The 16,869-nt window shown below is 55.1% G+C and overlaps 1 protein-coding gene across 4 annotated transcripts in view, besides 6 other annotated features; it reads left to right on the forward strand.

The window, feature by feature from the left end:
* Nucleotides 51-16,869, forward strand: part of SLC12A3 (solute carrier family 12 member 3) — a 50,644-nt gene continuing 33,825 nt past the window's right edge. For 2 of the 4 annotated variants that reach the window (NM_000339.3, NM_001126108.2), the window contains exons 1-12: nucleotides 51-361; nucleotides 1,914-2,060; nucleotides 3,141-3,216; nucleotides 4,573-4,668; nucleotides 4,940-5,079; nucleotides 5,470-5,580; nucleotides 7,195-7,306; nucleotides 7,500-7,630; nucleotides 12,921-13,005; nucleotides 13,917-14,071; nucleotides 14,386-14,493; nucleotides 14,974-15,097. In NM_000339.3, the coding sequence (NP_000330.3) occupies nucleotides 80-361; nucleotides 1,914-2,060; nucleotides 3,141-3,216; nucleotides 4,573-4,668; nucleotides 4,940-5,079; nucleotides 5,470-5,580; nucleotides 7,195-7,306; nucleotides 7,500-7,630; nucleotides 12,921-13,005; nucleotides 13,917-14,071; nucleotides 14,386-14,493; nucleotides 14,974-15,097 (1,567 nt within the window). In that variant the 5' untranslated portion in view covers nucleotides 51-79. The remainder of the gene's footprint in view (nucleotides 362-1,913; nucleotides 2,061-3,140; nucleotides 3,217-4,572; nucleotides 4,669-4,939; nucleotides 5,080-5,469; nucleotides 5,581-7,194; nucleotides 7,307-7,499; nucleotides 7,631-12,920; nucleotides 13,006-13,916; nucleotides 14,072-14,385; nucleotides 14,494-14,973; nucleotides 15,098-16,869) is intronic. The other 2 variants (NM_001126107.2, NM_001410896.1) reach the window with 1 other exon arrangement.
* Nucleotides 2,041-2,625: an enhancer, noted in NCBI's record as "H3K4me1 hESC enhancer chr16:56901109-56901693 (GRCh37/hg19 assembly coordinates)". NCBI's record gives its function as "activates a minimal SCP1, AML or CMV promoter by ChIP-STARR-seq in naive H9 embryonic stem cells {active_cell/tissue: H9 hESC(naive)}" and the evidence as "EXISTENCE:reporter gene assay evidence [ECO:0000049][PMID:30033119]".
* Nucleotides 2,626-3,210: an enhancer, noted in NCBI's record as "H3K27ac-H3K4me1 hESC enhancer chr16:56901694-56902278 (GRCh37/hg19 assembly coordinates)". NCBI's record gives its function as "activates a minimal SCP1, AML or CMV promoter by ChIP-STARR-seq in naive H9 embryonic stem cells {active_cell/tissue: H9 hESC(naive)}" and the evidence as "EXISTENCE:reporter gene assay evidence [ECO:0000049][PMID:30033119]".
* Nucleotides 5,934-5,983: an enhancer, noted in NCBI's record as "active region_10855". NCBI's record gives its function as "activates an Ori minimal core promoter by ATAC-STARR-seq in GM12878 lymphoblastoid cells {active_cell/tissue: GM12878}" and the evidence as "EXISTENCE:reporter gene assay evidence [ECO:0000049][PMID:35858748]".
* Nucleotides 6,204-6,393: an enhancer, noted in NCBI's record as "active region_10856". NCBI's record gives its function as "activates an Ori minimal core promoter by ATAC-STARR-seq in GM12878 lymphoblastoid cells {active_cell/tissue: GM12878}" and the evidence as "EXISTENCE:reporter gene assay evidence [ECO:0000049][PMID:35858748]".
* Nucleotides 9,433-10,369: an enhancer, noted in NCBI's record as "H3K27ac-H3K4me1 hESC enhancer chr16:56908501-56909437 (GRCh37/hg19 assembly coordinates)". NCBI's record gives its function as "activates a minimal SCP1, AML or CMV promoter by ChIP-STARR-seq in primed H9 embryonic stem cells {active_cell/tissue: H9 hESC(primed)}" and the evidence as "EXISTENCE:reporter gene assay evidence [ECO:0000049][PMID:30033119]".
* Nucleotides 11,285-11,784: an enhancer, noted in NCBI's record as "H3K4me1 hESC enhancer chr16:56910353-56910852 (GRCh37/hg19 assembly coordinates)". NCBI's record gives its function as "activates a minimal SCP1, AML or CMV promoter by ChIP-STARR-seq in naive H9 embryonic stem cells {active_cell/tissue: H9 hESC(naive)}" and the evidence as "EXISTENCE:reporter gene assay evidence [ECO:0000049][PMID:30033119]".

The following is a 16,869-nucleotide window of genomic DNA, read 5'->3' on the forward strand; positions in this document are numbered from 1 at the left end:
CCCCAGTGCAGACGCAGCCTATAAAACCACCCTGTGTGTCCTTGCGGATCCTGGCCCCTCCCTGGACACCCAGGCGACAATGGCAGAACTGCCCACAACAGAGACGCCTGGGGACGCCACTTTGTGCAGCGGGCGCTTCACCATCAGCACACTGCTGAGCAGTGATGAGCCCTCTCCACCAGCTGCCTATGACAGCAGCCACCCCAGCCACCTGACCCACAGCAGCACCTTCTGCATGCGCACCTTTGGCTACAACACGATCGATGTGGTGCCCACATATGAGCACTATGCCAACAGCACCCAGCCTGGTGAGCCCCGGAAGGTCCGGCCCACACTGGCTGACCTGCACTCCTTCCTCAAGGTAAGTGCTGTCTCAGAAGACTGGCCACTTCCCTGCTGTGTGACCTCGACCCAGCTACCTAACCTCTCTGAGCCTCAGTTCTGTCATCTGTGCCATGGGGATGGAGGAGCGTCTTCTTCCTGGGTTGAGAGGCCCCAGTGAAATAGTGGAGCTGCAGAAATCTGGGCACATGTTGGAATGTATATTAGCCAATCACTAGCAACCCAAAGCTAGAGTGGGAGGCCTAGAGAGGTAATGAGCTTCCAGTGAGTAGAAGCATGCAAGCAGGTTGCACACCCCTGAAAGAGACAGGGCAAGAAGGGCCTGGGAAGGTTCACCTCAGAGAGAGGGCTCGCCGGGTTTGCTGCCCGGGAGGCTGGACTGTGAAGAGTGGAGGGCTGGAAGGTGGATTGTCATGACCCCTGTCTGGCCTCACTTTTCCCATATGACAATTGGGCTGAATTGTTCTTTTTTCTTTTCTTTTCTTTTCTTTTCTTTTTTTTTTTTGAGACGGAGTCTGGCTCTGTCGCCCAGGCTGGAGTGCAGTGGTGTGATCTCGGCTCACTGCAACCTCTGCCTCCTGGGTTCAAGTGATTCTCCTGCCTCAGCCTCCCGAGTAGCTGGGATTACAGGAGCGCACCACCACACCCAGCTAATTTTTGTATTTTTAGTAGGGATGGGGTTTTGCCATATTGGCCAGGCTGGTCTTGAACTCCTGACCTCAAAGGATCCACCCACCTTGGCCTCCCAACGTGCTGGAATTACAGGCATGAGCCACCACGCCCAGCCCAGAATTGTTCTTGATTCTGAGGCTAAGACTTACTAAATTCGCAGGCCTTTTCTCCACCCCAGAGCAAACCAAGACATGGCCCTTGGCTCCATACTGAGATGAAGTGCCAGGAAGAAAGCCCCAGAGGAGGGCGTCAGTCACTTGGGGCACAAACTAGGAGACCTCCCAGTGCCCCAGAGGTAGAGGCCTGGTTTCAAGACCCAGCCCTCCAGGGACCAACTATGTGGCCTTGGACAAGCTTTCACCTCTCCAGGGTGATAATAATCCTGTCGCCCATTACAAGGCTAGGCAACTGCCTAATCACTTCTAAGGCCACTGCTCTCCTAGGGGGAGGAGGTGTTATGAGCAGGAGCGCCCAGGACTCCCAGTCTCCCATGGCATCTGATCTTGGATCACTGCAACCTCCACCTCCTGGCTTCAAGAGATCCTCCTATGTCAGCCTCCTGAGTAGCTGGGACCACAGGTGCACACCACCATGCCCAGCTAATTTTTGTATTTCTTAGTAGAGACAGGGTTTTACCTTGTTGCCCAGGCTGGTCTTGAACTCCTAAGCTCAAGCAATCCACCCACCTTGGCCTCCCAAAGTGCTTTTACTACAGGCGTGAGCCACTGCTCCTGGCCTAGGGAGCATTTTAAAAGCCCCTCAAGCAGCTCAACACCCAGTGGGCTGAGGGGTCGGGGGGTGCTCGGTATGGGGCGCAGTGGTGCAGGTCAGTGGGCTGGATGCAGAGACGCCGTCCCTAGCACCCCTACCTGCCTGACTTGTGGTCTCTGGGCTGCCAGCAGGAAGGCAGACACCTGCATGCCCTGGCCTTTGACAGCCGGCCCAGCCACGAGATGACTGATGGGCTGGTGGAGGGCGAGGCAGGCACCAGCAGCGAGAAGAACCCCGAGGAGCCAGTGCGCTTCGGCTGGGTCAAGGGGGTGATGGTGAGTGGGGTGTGGGTGGTGCGTGATGTCCAGAAATGGGGGTGGGGTGGCAGAGCTCCATCCAGGCTCAGCTCTGACTCTCAGGCCCTGGTGGGGCTTCAGTTTCCCCATCTGTACAATGAATTCAATGAGTTAATAGATCAATAGACAATAGATTAAAGCCTGCCGGGGAGTAATTAGAAGAAACTGTGTTTCCCTAAAAAGCCACCAGGGGGCTGCACTAAACACACAAATCCGTAAATGTGTTTTTCTCCTCCATGAAGGGAAGGAAAAGGTTTGCTATAGTGAGGAGCAGGATTAAGTTTCCAGACAGTAGACAATCAAGGACACTTGGCTTTGGAGACATTATGGGACTTTACAGAGGGGATCTTATGGGATGTAGAAGGCTTTAGCCCTGCTCCGGGAGGCAGGAGGCTGGGGTTCTGATCTTAACGCTGCCAACTGGCTGTGCCTCCGTTTCTCCATCTGAACCACGAGCCCTCCCCGACCCCCAGATGCTCTTATTCAGAGCTGGGATCTCCCTCCTGGGCTGTGTTGCCAGAGCCGGGAACGGCCCTGCAACTCAGTGGGGCCAGCGACCACACCAGCCCCTCCCACCTGGAAGCTTCAGCCTCCATCTCGGCCTCTGGCTTTGCTTTAAATTTGGAAGCTGAAGTCACAGCCACCTGAGCTCTGATATCTGCTCTTACATGGGGCGCTGGCTCACCTGGCATTTGCTGAGCTCCCTGTAAATGCCAGGCTCTGGATCAACTGCTGACCACTGGGGCCATGGTCGGGGCTGGCAGACACAGGATCCTGGGCTTGGGATGGATACAGTGAGGGCTAACAGTGCTGGTAGCCTAGCGTCAGGACTCAACGGGAGGGTGGGAAAATAGGTGGGAGGGATAGGTGGGTCTCTGGGTGCCTCTCACCCTCTTGCCCCATAGAACCAGACTCGGAACCTACTGAAGTGGGTGAAGAAGGGACCCAGGTGTCCCTAGGGCCTAGGTGCTCGATACCCTGCCATAGCAAGGGACAGGGACTTGTCGTTTGGCCTTGGGGTGTCCACCCAGGTGGCCTCTGACCCCCCTGTCCTCCCAGATTCGTTGCATGCTCAACATTTGGGGCGTGATCCTCTACCTGCGGCTGCCCTGGATTACGGCCCAGGCAGGCATCGGTGAGTGCCCCTCTGGGGAAGAGGAGGGAGGGCTTGCCTGAATCCCATTCTTCCCAGCTTGCCTGAATCCTGTTCTTCCCAGACCCCAAGGTTGCAGGATTAAACTTGAGGTGCAGAGACCAAACGGCCAGGCCTTCTCCTCCCTGGTTCAGTCTCAGGCCCCTGCAGTGACAGGGGTCAGGGTGGTGTGGCAGAGGCACGCTGGACATGGGGTCAGCAGGCCTAAGGGCTATTTGCCCTCAGTAAGCCACTTAACCTCTCAGAGCCCATTTCTACCTCAAAGCGTGCAGGTTAGAAAGCTGCACTCTGGCCGGGCACGGTGGCTCACGCTTTGGGAGGCTGTAATCCCAGCACTTTGGGAGGCCGAGGCAGGTGGATCACGAGGTCAGGAGTTCAAGACCAGCCTGGCCAACATGGTGAAACCCTGTCTCTACTAAAAATATTAAAAAATTGGCCAGGCGTGGTTGGCAGGTGCCTGTAATCCCAGCTACTCGGGAGGCTGAGTCAGAGAATTGCTTGAACCTGGGAGGCAGAGGCTGCAGTGAGCCGAGATCACGCCACTGCATTCCAGCCTGGGCAACAGAGTGTGAAACTCCATCTCAAAAAAAATAAAAAATAAAAAAGAAAGCTGCATTCTGGACAGAACAGGACTCAGATGCTAGCTCTGTAGCCTGCTATGTGACTTTGGGCAAGTTTCTTAACCTCTCTGAGCCTTGGATTCCTCATTAGGAAAATGAGGGTGATAACAGAACCTACCTCATGGAACCGTTGTGGCTTTTACAGGATGCAAGTAAAAACACAGCGCAGATTTGGCTCCCAGAGGTGATCACGGAGTGGTAACTGCTACTTTATTTTTTATTATTAAACGAGGGTAGCTTCCCCTCCATACCTAACAATCCAATAAATGCTGGCTCAAGGGCTCACTGGCTATTCAGAGTATGACAGGAGGTAGACAGAGACCCATTTTTTTTTTGAGACGAAGTCTCACTCTGTCACCCAGGCTGGAGTGCAGTCGCGTGGTCTCGGCTCACTGCAACCTCCGCCTCCTGGGTTCAAGCGATTCTCCTGCCTCAGCCTCCTAAGTAGCTGGGATTACAGGCATGTGCCAGCATGCCTGGCTAATTTTTGTATTTTTAGTAGAGACGGGGTTTCACCATGTTGGCCAGGCTGGTCTTGAACTCCTGACCTTATGATCTGCCCGCCTCGGCCTCCCAAAGTGACAGAGACCCATTTTTCAGATGAGAAAACTGAAGCTCAGAGAAGGGAGATGAACGTAGGTCGCATGGTGAATGAGTAGGCAAACTGGGGCTCCTCCCTTGGGAAATGCCCTGCCTAAGCTTTGGGTGCCCCCTGCAGTCCTGACCTGGATCATCATCCTGCTGTCGGTCACGGTGACCTCCATCACAGGCCTCTCCATCTCAGCCATCTCCACCAATGGCAAGGTCAAGTCAGGTGGGCCATCCCCCTTTCCACCAAGGCCCTCCTCTCGTGGGCTCCTAATCCTGGGAACAGGACTCCCAACTTCCCCAACCCAATGGTACACCCAGCCGCTCCTGTGGTTCCGGGAGAGGGCTCTAGGCAGGCTGTCTACACCACGAGATGGCCTCAGCTATCTCCTGCCCCGTGGGTCCTGTGGCCACCCTCTCCTGGCCTCTGCCTGCCCTGAGTCCACCCCAGCCAACCGACTCATCTGGTTTCATGGTTCCCGGCTCTGCCCTGATAGGTGGCACCTACTTCCTCATCTCCCGGAGTCTGGGCCCAGAGCTTGGGGGCTCCATCGGCCTCATTTTCGCTTTCGCCAATGCCGTGGGTGTGGCCATGCACACGGTGGGCTTTGCAGAGACCGTGCGGGACCTGCTCCAGGTGAGGCCGGGGGGCTGGACCCTGGGTAGAGGGATCCGGGCAGCCCATTGCACTCTCCTCCGCCCCATCTGGGCTGGGGCCTCCTGCTGCTCTGCCTGACTTCACCCATCAGGAACCACAGCCTGATCACTGTGGGTGAGAGTGACAATCTCATCAAATAAAGGCCATTGCTTTCCCACAAGTCCCCTTTGGGGGTGTGTGTGGCCTTTAGAGCCACACTGTCCAGGCCCGTGCAGCAGCTGCTTTGGGGACTCGATGGCAGGGGTGGTGCTTGAGTTAACATCGTCCTAGCAGAGTGCACCGCACAGGAGGTGCCTCCTAGGTGGGCAGAGTCTGGGGGATGGGGAATTCAGAGGGTGGCTTGCAGCCTGGCCCATTTTCCCTCCCCAGGAGTATGGGGCACCCATCGTGGACCCCATTAACGACATCCGCATCATTGCCGTGGTCTCGGTCACTGTGCTGCTGGCCATCTCCCTGGCTGGCATGGAGTGGGAGTCCAAGGTGAGGAGGCCATGGAGGAGGGGGACATGGAGGTGGTCACGTGGAGAAGCGGGGGTTGCCAGGCCTGGGCCCTCCCTGGTCCTCTGCCTTTTCTTTTTCTTTTCTTTTTTTTTTTTTGAGACAGAATCTCGCTCGATGTCCATGCTGGAGTGCAGTGGTACCATCTCGGCTCACTGCAACCTCCATCTCCCAGGTTCAAGAGATTCTCCTGCCTCAGCCTCCCGAGTAGCTGGGATTACAGGCACCTGCCACCACACCTGGCTAATTTTTATATTGTTTGTAGAGACGGGGTTTCACCATGTTGGTCAGGCTGGTCTCAAACTCTTGACCTCAAGTGATCTGCCCGCCTTGGCCTCCCAAAGTGCTGGGATTACAGGTGTGAGCCACTGTGCCCTGCTGCTTTGTATCTCTTGTGTGACAACCTAGGTCCACATGGCCCAGGGTGGGCATGGTGGCTCAGGGGGCCGGGCACCCAGACTCCTTCCATCTTGTGCTCCCTCCATCCCTGCGCCGTGGCCTTTGTCCACCTGGTCCACCATACCCACATCCCCTCCAGTCAGAGGGAAAGCAAAGAAGGGGGAAATGAAAGGGAGGGAATTCCCTTTTCTCTTTCTTTTTATGGCACCATCTGGAAGTTTCACTATCGCTGTCACACATGGCTGCGAGGGAGCCTGGGGAGGTGTGGCCTTCAACTGAATCATGGATCCTGCTGGCAGACTCAGCCGGACAGGCCCTACAGGCAGGGCAGGACCTGGCCCCTGCAGCCTGTCCTCTCCCCGCATTTTCTGACCTGCAGCTGTCAGAGGGTGTCCTCCTTGCTCTTCCTTGGATGCCCTGAGCTGAATTCCCTGGACAGTTCTCTGGCTTGTTCATTCTCCCACTTAAGGTGTCTGCTAAACACCTTCTCTCTGGTGACACCTTCCCAGGTCATCCTGCTAAATGAGCTCCACCCAGTCCCCATCACACTCCCTCTTCTTTATTTATTTATTTATTTATTTATTTTTGAGATGGAGTCTCGTTCTGTCACCTAGGCTGGGGTGCAGAGGCGTGATCTCGGCTCACTGCAACCTCCGCCTCCTCGTCTCAAGCAATTCTCCTGCCTCAGCCTCCCAAGTAGCTAGGATTACAGACACCCACCACCATGCCTGGCTAATTTTTGTATTTTTAGTATAGACGGGGTTTCACCATGTTGGCCAGGCTGATCTCGAACTCCTGACCTCAGGTGATCCGCCCACCTCGGTCTCCCAAAATGCTGAGATTACAGGTTTGAGCCACTGTTTCCGGCCTGTATTTTTAGTAGAGACAGAGTTTCCCCATGTTGGCCAGGCTGGTCTCAAACTCCTGACCTCAGGTGATCCGCCCACCTCGGCCTCCCAAACCTCTTCTTACTTTAAATTCATCCTCCTTATTTATCAGCCAAGACAAGAGGCTTTGGCGGTCTTGTTCACTGCTATATTCCCAACTCCTTGAACAGATCCTGCTGCATAATGGGTGTTGAATGAATGAGTGAGTGAATAATGGAGAAACGGGCCCTGGGCAAATCATTTTCTGGCGGGGCTTCCCAGAGAGGTAGAACAAAACTATCTGACCTCTGGGGTCCTTCGCCCCCTCCAGGCCCAGGTGCTGTTCTTCCTTGTCATCATGGTCTCCTTTGCCAACTATTTAGTGGGGACGCTGATCCCCCCATCTGAGGACAAGGCCTCCAAAGGCTTCTTCAGCTACCGGGGTATGTGCTGATCAAGGCCCTGACCATGGCTCTGGGGACAGGGACTCTCTACCCAGGAATCTGGCCCATTGTGTGGACACTGGGAGGATGGGATTACCCAATCCCATGGTCAGGGGCTGCCTGCCCAGTGGGTCCCAGCAAGGGGGGTCAAGCCCTCCAGGTGAGCCTTACTCATCAGGCCTTGCTTTTCCAGCGGACATTTTTGTCCAGAACTTGGTGCCTGACTGGCGGGGTCCAGATGGCACCTTCTTCGGAATGTTCTCCATCTTCTTCCCCTCGGCCACAGGCATCCTGGCAGGGGCCAACATATCTGGTGACCTCAAGGTGAGCAGAATACTTGCCCCTCCTGTGTCCTGGCACTGCACAGGGGCTATGAGCAGAATCCTGCCCCCTGCTCTAGTGGCATCTGCCGCTGACCTGGGAGGCAGGGCTTCTAAAATCCAGTCCAGTCCAACTCAGCTCAGTTCAACCCAATCCAACCGATTCCATTCCGTTCTGAGGTTGTTTATGAAGACCAGCTGCGTTCTAGGCTTGAGGGACACCACAGAATGGCTAGGTTCCTCCCTAGTTCCCAGAACTCTCAGCCTTAGGGGAAGACTGGCCCAGCTGTGACCTTAAGAGCCCAGCCTTGCTCATGCACATCTTTGCTGGGCTGACATCCTCCCAGGGCTCCCCACTGCCTTGCTGCAGGCAGGCTTCTTGGCTTGGCATTCAAGGCTCCAGCCTGCCTGTCTAGCCTCATCCCTGACCAGTGCCACCCTTCCCATGAGCCTGCTGCAGCCCTGAGGCTCTACTGCTTTGCCCGTGTTACCTCGTCCCTCCTCCACGCCTTTGCCTGTGCTGCGCTCTCTACCTGCAACTCCGTACGCTTGCTTTTTTACCCTGAAAGTCTGTTCTGTTTCTCTTTCTTTCTTTTTTTTTTTTTTTTTTTTTTTTTTTTTGAGATGGAGTTTTGCTCTTGTTGCCCAGGCTGGAGTGCAATGGCATGATCTTGGCTCACTGCAACCTCCGCCTCCCGGGTTCAAGCGATTCTCCTGCCTCAGCCTCCTGAGTAGCTGGGATTACAGGTGCCTGCCACCGCACCCGGTTAATATTTGTATTTTTTAGTAGAGATGGAGTTTTGCTATGTTGGCCAGGCTGGTCTCAAACTCCTGACCTCAGGTGATCCATTCGCCTGGGCCTCCCAAAGTGCTGGGATTATAGGGGTGAGCCACCATGCCTAGCCTCTTTTATTTATTTTATTTTATTTTTTTTTTTTTGAGATGAAGTCTCGGTCTGTCGCCCAGGCTGGAAGGCTGGAGTGCAGTGGCACGATCTCAGCTCACTGCAACCTCCGCCTCCCGGGTTCAAGTGATTCTCATGCCTCAGCCTCCAGAGTAGTTGAGACTACAGGCACCTGCCACCACGCCTAACTAATTTTTGTATTTTTAGTAGAGACAGGGTTTCGCCATGTTGGCCAGGCTGGTCTCGATCTCCTGACCTCAAGTGATCCACCCGATTTGTCTTCCCAAAGTGCTGGGATTACAGGAGTGAGCCACTTCTCCTGGCCTGTTTCTCTTTCAAATACCGCCTTCAACTATCATCTCTCCCAGCCCTTCCATCAGAGTCATGGTTCCCCAGCATAATGATGTTGGGCCAAACGCGTATCTGTTGCCCCGGCATCTGGAGAACGGAGACTTGCCTCTGTCTCCCTATTCCCTCCCAGCTCAGAGCCTGGCACATACTAGGTGCTCTGTACATGTTTGTTGACTGAATCATGGTGAAATGCAGTGTTTGAGCAGTAGCACAAAGTGCTGCACCAGCAGGGAGAAGGAGAGACTGATGTTGGCAGGGGTTCCAGCAGAATTTCTGGGTGCAGGAGGCGCCAGAGCTGGGCTTTGAAAGGTGACAAGCTGGCAGAACCTTTGCTCAAGGGAGGTGGCAGGCAAGAGGGGGTGATGAATGGGGAGCTAGCCCCACACTGGAAATCACAGCTAACCCCTACCCCAAACCTCCAGTCTCATTTGGAAGGCGCTCCTTGATGCATTTTCTTAAGCAAATTAAGAGCTGTGCATTGAGCCAGGCACAGTGGCTCATGCCTGTAATCCTAGCACTTTGGAAGGCCAGAGCAGGTGGATCACTTGAGGTCGGGAGTTCGAGACCAGCCTGGCTAACATGATGAAACTGTTTTAGTCTCCACTAAAAACATAAAAATTAGCCGGGTGTGGTGGTGGGTTCCTGTAATCCCAGCTACTCGGGAGGCTAAGGCAGGAGAATTGCTAGAACCCGGAAGGCGGAGGTTGCAGTGAGCCAAGATGGCGCCACTACACTCCAGCCTGGGTGACAGAGCGGAACTCCATCTCAAACCTCACCCCCCCGCAAAAAAAAGGAATGCACATGGAGTCGACTGTGAAGCCAGCGTGGCTTTAAGCAGCTATGCACCAGGTGGTGTTGGGCAGGGCCTGGAAATTGGAGAACAGCCGTTGGTTTGGCTCCTCTCCTTTTTCTGGGGAATGGCCAGCAGAGGCCTGGTCTGCCTGCCCTGAGGTCCCGCAGAGGTTGGGCCTGTGCTCAGACAGCCTGGATTCCATGCAGTCTCATTAGATCGTTGCCTGGGAATTTATCTCGATGCCTCATCAAGCTTTTTAGGTTACCAACCAGCAGGCGTCAGCTGTCTTGAAGCTGGATGAGGCCCGCGCGCCTGCACTCTGTCCTAAATGCCCTCAAGCTTTAAGGGGCTCTTGGATGGCCTCCACCCATCCTGTGGGACAGCATCCTCAGCAGCAGAGCCACTGTTTGTGGAGCCCTCACTGTGACATTTTGGGCAAGTCCCTTTAAAACTCCCTGGGCCTCAGCTTCCCCAATTCTAAAATGGGACGAGTACAGCCCCCATCTTGCAGGGCGGTGGGGAGGATTCCATGTGCTAATTCATGTAAAGTGCTTAGAATAGTGCCTGGCTCAGAGCAGGAGCTAAGGGCTTCTTGTTATCATTGTCATTTTTACCATGATATAGACAAGCAAGCCAAGGTCAGAGAGGTTCGGGGGCCTGCCCAGGACTACACAGGTGGCAGAGGAGCCGGAATGCCAGTTTCTAAAACAGAGAGGCCTCAACTACATCACAATTTCATCATCTAACAAATACGTTTTGTGCTGCCTCAGGGCATGCCCCTGTGCACAATCCTGCCCCCACCCCAACAGCTCACATTTATGGGCACTTGTCACCTGCCAAGTTATTTTCTGATTTCACAGATGGGGAAACTGAGGCTCAGGGATGTTAAGGGGCTTCTCCCAGTGCACACAGCAGGGAAGAGGTGGGCTGAGATGTGGACCTGGATGTGCCTAACGTTGTTAAATCCCCGGGCAACAATCTCAGAGTTAGGCACATCCAGGTCCACATCTCAGCCCACCTCTACCCAGCTCACCTCTTCTCTGCTTGCCTCTTCCCAGCACATCCAGAGGCTGAGATCTCAGCTCTAGATGCAGGAGGCAGGATGGGGGCTGATGGCTGGTGTATTTGTGTTTTCACCACAAATTGGGTGGCTTAAAAACAGACCTATATTCCCTCCCCGTTCAGGAGGCTAAAAGTCCGGGATCCAGGTGTCAGCAGGACCAAGCTCCCCCTGAAAACCCAGGGGAGAATCCTGCCTTGCCTCTTCCTAATTTCTGGTGGCTGCTGACAGTGGCTTTTTCTTGGCTGGCAACTGCATCACTCCAATCTCTGTCTCTGTCTCACGTGGCCTTCTTTCATCTGTGGGTCCTTTCCTTGTAAGGACACCAGTCATTGCATTTGGGGCCCACCCTAATCCGGTATGACCTCATCTTTACTAACTGCACCTGCAAAGACCCTGTTTCCAAATAAGGCCACATTCTGAGGTTCTGGGTGGATGTGAATTTTGGGGGACGCTATTCAATCCACTAGAGGCAGGGTGGGAGGCTGGTGTGTTCTGTTGGCTTTGGGGCTGGGGACCCCATGTGCATGGCCCAGTTGAGTCAAACAGGTTTGCCGGGCAGGGCTGGCAGGTCCATGCCTGCAGGGGCCCTGCAGAGCCCTGGGGTGGAGACTCCACCCAAAGCCCTGGGAGACCGAGGCAGGGAGAAGAAATTCAACAGCTCCACGTCTGGGCCACAGAGGGCACTTGGCCAAGGCTTGGAGGTCCCAGCAGACCTGGGCTCTAGAGACTCCAGCTCTACACCTCTGTTCCCATTTTCCCCAGGCCTGCCACATCCTCCCTCCCACCTCCTCCTGGTAGCCCCCCAACACACTTGACTTGCTCCTAATCTGCGGTGCCATCTGCTAACTGGATGGTGAGCAGAACAGCCCAGGGAAGGCTGGGGGGGTTTATAAATTGACTTCCCATGGCAGGCCTGGCCTTTGCCTTCAGGTTGGGGTCTGTGTCTGGAAAGTGAGCAGGTCTTGAACTTACTGTAAAAATCCCAGCCTGTGTTGCTGCACCCAGGATCAGTCCTTGGAGCCCGAGGCTGTTGACTTTGGTGTGGTCAGGCCCAGAGCTGTGTCCTCCTCGCAGCTCTCTGCCCTCAGTTTCCCCACCAGCTGAGCAGGGGTGCCCAGGCCACTTCTCAGGAAATTACATTTGAGAAAGTGCCTAGAAGAGTGGAACACATGCTGTGTTCGTGAAGGCTTGTGATCACTGTTAAGAAAATACGAGCGGCCGGGCGCGGGGGCTCACGCCTGTAATCCCAGCACTTTGGGAGGCTGAGGTGGGTGGATCACTTGAGGTCAGGAGTTCAAGACCAGCCTGGCTATCATGGTGAAACCCCGTCTCTACTAAAAATACAAAAATTAGGGCGCCTATAGTGGTGGTACATGCCTGTAGTCCCAGCTACTTGGGAGGCTAAGGCAGGAGAATTGCTTGAACCCAGAAGGTGGAGGTTGCAGTGAGCCGAGATCATGCCACTGCACTCCAACCTGGGTGACAGAGCAAGACTCTGTCTCAAAAAAAAAATAAAATAAAAATAAAAAATAATTTTAAAAAAGCAAGAAAATATGAGCAGATATTTATTTCTTAGAACGGAAGGAGAAAATTTGGGGTGTATCCTATTTATGGTTGAGGAACCAGACAAATCAATTGGTGCATAATGATTGAACACGCTGTGAGGGCTGGCGGGGAGGGGAGTCCTGGTCTAGGATGTCAATGTGGATTAATTTATTTCACCAACATCCCTGACAGATGAGGGGCCGGGGTGTGAGAGCACAGCCCCCTGCCCAGCTGGCCGCCTGGAAGTGAACCCGGGCAGGCCGACTCCAGAGCCCACCACCCTGCCCCCACCCTTACCACCCTCACAGCAAACCCTGGCCAAGTGGCCTCTGTGGCGCAGGCGTGGAGCTGTTGAATTTCTTCTCTCTGCCTCCATTTCCCAGGGCCTTGGGTGGAGTCTCCGACCCGTGATCTTGGTTGTATTCATCCCTCTCTGGGGGTCCTCAGTCATGAGGCTCCTTCCTCTCTGTGCTGGAACAGGGGCTCTGAGGGGCCAAGGTCAGAGGTTGCTGCCCCCAGCCTCAGCCTTAGACAAGGAGGACAGGCCTGGAAGGAGGCCCAGGGGCTGCCTAATGTCCTCCGTCCCTCCCTCCCTCTCTCCCTCCCTCCCTCCCTCCCTCTCTCCCTCCCTCCTTCAGGACCCTGCTATAGCCATCCCCAAGGGGACCCTCATGGCCATTTTCTGGACGACCATTTCCTACCTGGCCATCTCAGCCACCATTGGTAAGTGGCCGGCCCAGCCAGTCAGGAGGGGGAGGGACCTGGCCTCCACCCTGCAGTGTCCCAAAACCCTGACCACTGGAGGGGATCAGAGGGTGGGGTTCGACTCTCTAACAACAGGGAGAGCTGGGCTGGGAGGGTGTGGCGACCTTAGGATGTGAAGCCTTGAACCTATCTCTGGGGTATCTTGGCAATGATCAGAGCATCTTCATGGCAGTGGGCGTGGTGGGGTCAGACCAGGCTCCTTGGGTCCCTTGAAGGCCCAGATTCATGAGTGTGAAGATCCTACAGGACAAATCTAGGAGTGATGATGATGATGATGATGATGATAATGATACCAGTAACTGACTTCCCATGTGCCCCGCCCTTTGCATGCCAGTCCTATCATTGTCATTTTCCCTATTTCACCAAGGAGAAAATGGGGGCTCAGAGACGTTAAGTGACCTGCCCAGGGTCACACAGCCACTGAATGGTGGAGCCAGGCTTTGAGCCCAGGTCTGGGCTGTTAACACCTGCCTTGAACTGAGATCCTCACAGATGTACTTCCTCCCAGTGGCCCCGTTTGAGGCAAGCTGTTCACAAATGGCCAAGGGACTTGGTCCAGCTCACAGCCACTCGAGGCTTGAGATCCAGGTCTCCGATCTAAGGAGGACATTGTGATCTTGGTCACTCAAGCTCTCTGCGCCTCTGTAAAATGGCAACGACAACAAAAATAATAGTAATGCCTGCTCGTAGGTTATTGTAAAGTACTTATCATGGCTCCGGGCACACCTTCATTGTCATCATTATCATTGCATAATGAAGGGACAGCTGCCCATCATCTGCAGCACCTCGCCCTCTGCAGAGGTGGGGCTGGAAGAGGACAGAGTAAGGAGGGAAGGCAGACCTCCCCATGCTCTCCTTCCTCCTCTCAGGCTCCTGCGTGGTGCGTGATGCCTCTGGGGTCCTGAATGACACAGTGACCCCTGGCTGGGGTGCCTGCGAGGGGCTGGCCTGCAGCTATGGCTGGAACTTCACCGAGTGCACCCAGCAGCACAGCTGCCACTACGGCCTCATCAACTATTACCAGGTACTGCCAGGAGAGCTGACCCACCAGACACAGTGGGGGCTGGGTGGAGGCTGCAGGGCCCCTTGCAGGCCTGGAAGTTTGTTGGGGGGACATAGTTTTGGGGGTTGAGGCCTAGGCTTAGGAGAGAGGGGTTCAGAGCCCAGGTCTGTCCAGTCCCGACTTGTGGGTGGACACTGGGATCTCCAGGGGTGGGTTGTGGACTCAGGTGGAGGCTCAGGACCCAGCCCCTGCCCGCAGTAGGGAATGAAGTGCCACAGATGGGGGCTCCTGGCTCAGCCCCCACCGTGGAGTCCCTGAGCCCCAAATCCCCACAGACCATGAGCATGGTGTCAGGCTTCGCGCCCCTGATCACGGCTGGCATCTTCGGGGCCACCCTCTCCTCTGCCCTGGCCTGCCTTGTCTCTGCTGCCAAAGTCTTCCAGGTGAGGCCGCAGAAAGGGGTCGAGATGACAGGGGGTGGGGAGCCTGGGCTAGAGGCACAATAGGGCGGGTCCCTGGGTGACTGCTACAAACACCTGAAGGTGTCATTAGACTGGGGTCTCTAGCCAGAAGGGAAAAGGAGCTATCAGCAAACTCTTGAAGGAAGCAGCCCCCTCCGACTTGACAAACACCTGCAGTCCCCACCCCAAACTCCCACCTGTGCCACCAGCATCCTGTCCGCAACTCCACCATTCAAGCTCTACCCGAAGCCATCCATCCCCCAGTCATGCTCTTTTACTGTCTTTATGGTAGGGCGGGGAGGGTGGAGGGGGTGAGCATCCCTGTTTAATAGAAACAGACACCAGGACCCAGGTTGGGGAGGTCACGGAGGGCACCGAGCCGGGGCTGGAGCTCAGGTGGCCCCAGGGGAGGGGAAGTGGCAGGTCCCAGCCTAAGGGTGAGTGCGGCATCTGGTGCTGCAGTGCCTTTGCGAGGACCAGCTGTACCCACTGATCGGCTTCTTCGGCAAAGGCTATGGCAAGAACAAGGAGCCCGTGCGTGGCTACCTGCTGGCCTACGCCATCGCTGTGGCCTTCATCATCATCGGTAAGGCTCTGCCAGGGCTCACAGGGCCTGGCCTCCTGTTCCCCTGGCCGGCCATGAGGGTCTTGGGGGCCGGGCTCTTCTCCTGTCTCCTCATCTCCCCGCCGGGCCTGACAGTTAGTGGGCACTAAGAGGCTAAGTCTTGAGGGGTGAGACCCCACCTGGGAGGAGACATCGGGGGGCCATGTGATCCTTCCCCTTCCCACCTCCAGGCAGGGTGGCTCCCAAACCATGTCAGGCAGCAGAGCCTTCTGCTTTGTTAGAAGAGAACTTACCTGTTCCCCCGGTCTGCGTTCACATGTCCTGGCAGCTAGCATCCCCCTCCCCAGGCCTAAATGAACCCCAGAACACCTTTGGAGCATGGGACAAGCTGACTGGTCTCTCCTTGGGATGGGATACCAATGGCTGGTCAGTATCCTCATAGGTATATAAACTAGACAAACCTAGTTCCAAGGGCCTAGGGCTTCTAGACTCCTTGGGCTTCAAGGTGGTAGATGTCTTAAGAGAAAAGAGCCCAGGTAATCGGTTCATTAGATCAACTTCCTATCCAGGCTTTGCCATGTGCCAGCTGTGTGACCTTAGACAAGGTACTTCACCTCTCTGAGCCTCATTTTTCTCATCTGCAGAATGGGAGCAATAGTGCCTAACAGGTGTGTCTCAGATGGGCAGGAAGAGACCACCTGTGCAGGAAGACCTACATGCATTCATATATGCACACACACTCATATGTGCACACATACTCACATGTGCACATGCCCAATACTTGCCTAATTTACTTAGCCATGGAGGCAGAACTCGCGAGGAGAGAGGTGGCCACACCAAGCACGGGCAGTGGCCATGCTGCAACATGATGTCCCCTGGCCCCTGCTCCCTATGCAGGAGTGGGATGGGGGTAGACTACTGGCCAGCCTCCCTGGGCTCATGGGCACCCTCCTGCCAACAGTGAATCCATGCCGTTCAGGCTGGTATCACAGTCCATGAGATTTGCCCTGATAGCCTAGTCACTATTACCCAAGGTAAGCTTTTCAGACACCAGGCACTACTGGGTCCTGGACCACATGAAGAGGTGGCAGGGATGGAAAAGTCTGGTCAGACTTGATGTTCCCCGGCCCCGTCTCTGCTTCCTGCTCACCGGGGCCCAGAAACACATTTCCCTGCAATGTACCCTGATGCAGATTCGATGTCCTTTCATCTGGGGGGGGGTCTGACTTGACTTCAGACTGAGGACCATGATCTCAGATGCTCCGGGCAGGGTTCTTAGGTGATTACATGAAATCATGGACAGAGGACCTGGCACATTGGTGCACGTCGTGTTTTGGGATCCCCAGAAGCAGGCCCCGAGACAAGGATTAATATGTAAAAGTTTATCTGGGGTGCTGGGGGCAGTAGCAGGGGAGGGGAACAGGGAGACAGGGAAGAGGAAGCAGTTCTTGGGTGGGTTACCACTGGGGTACCAGTGGGGTGGAGCTGTGTTACGGTCTTAGGTGTCCTGGGCCACATTGCAAAATGTATTTCTGGCCAGGCACAATGGCTCATGCCTGTAATCCCAGCACTTTAGGAGGCCGAGGCAGGTGGATCATTTGAGGTCAGGAGTTCGAGACCAGCCTGGCCAACATGGTGAAACCCTGTTTCTACTAAAAATACAAAAATTAGCTGGGCGTGGTGGTGCATGCCTGTAATCCAAGCTACTAGGGAGGCTGAGGCAGGAGAATCGCTTGAGCCCAGGAAGCAGAGGTTGCAGTGAGCCGAGATCACGCCACTGCACTCCAGCCTGG

Source organism: Homo sapiens, chromosome 16, assembly GCF_000001405.40.
Source record: "Homo sapiens chromosome 16, GRCh38.p14 Primary Assembly".
Taxonomy (NCBI): Eukaryota; Metazoa; Chordata; class Mammalia; order Primates; family Hominidae; genus Homo; species Homo sapiens.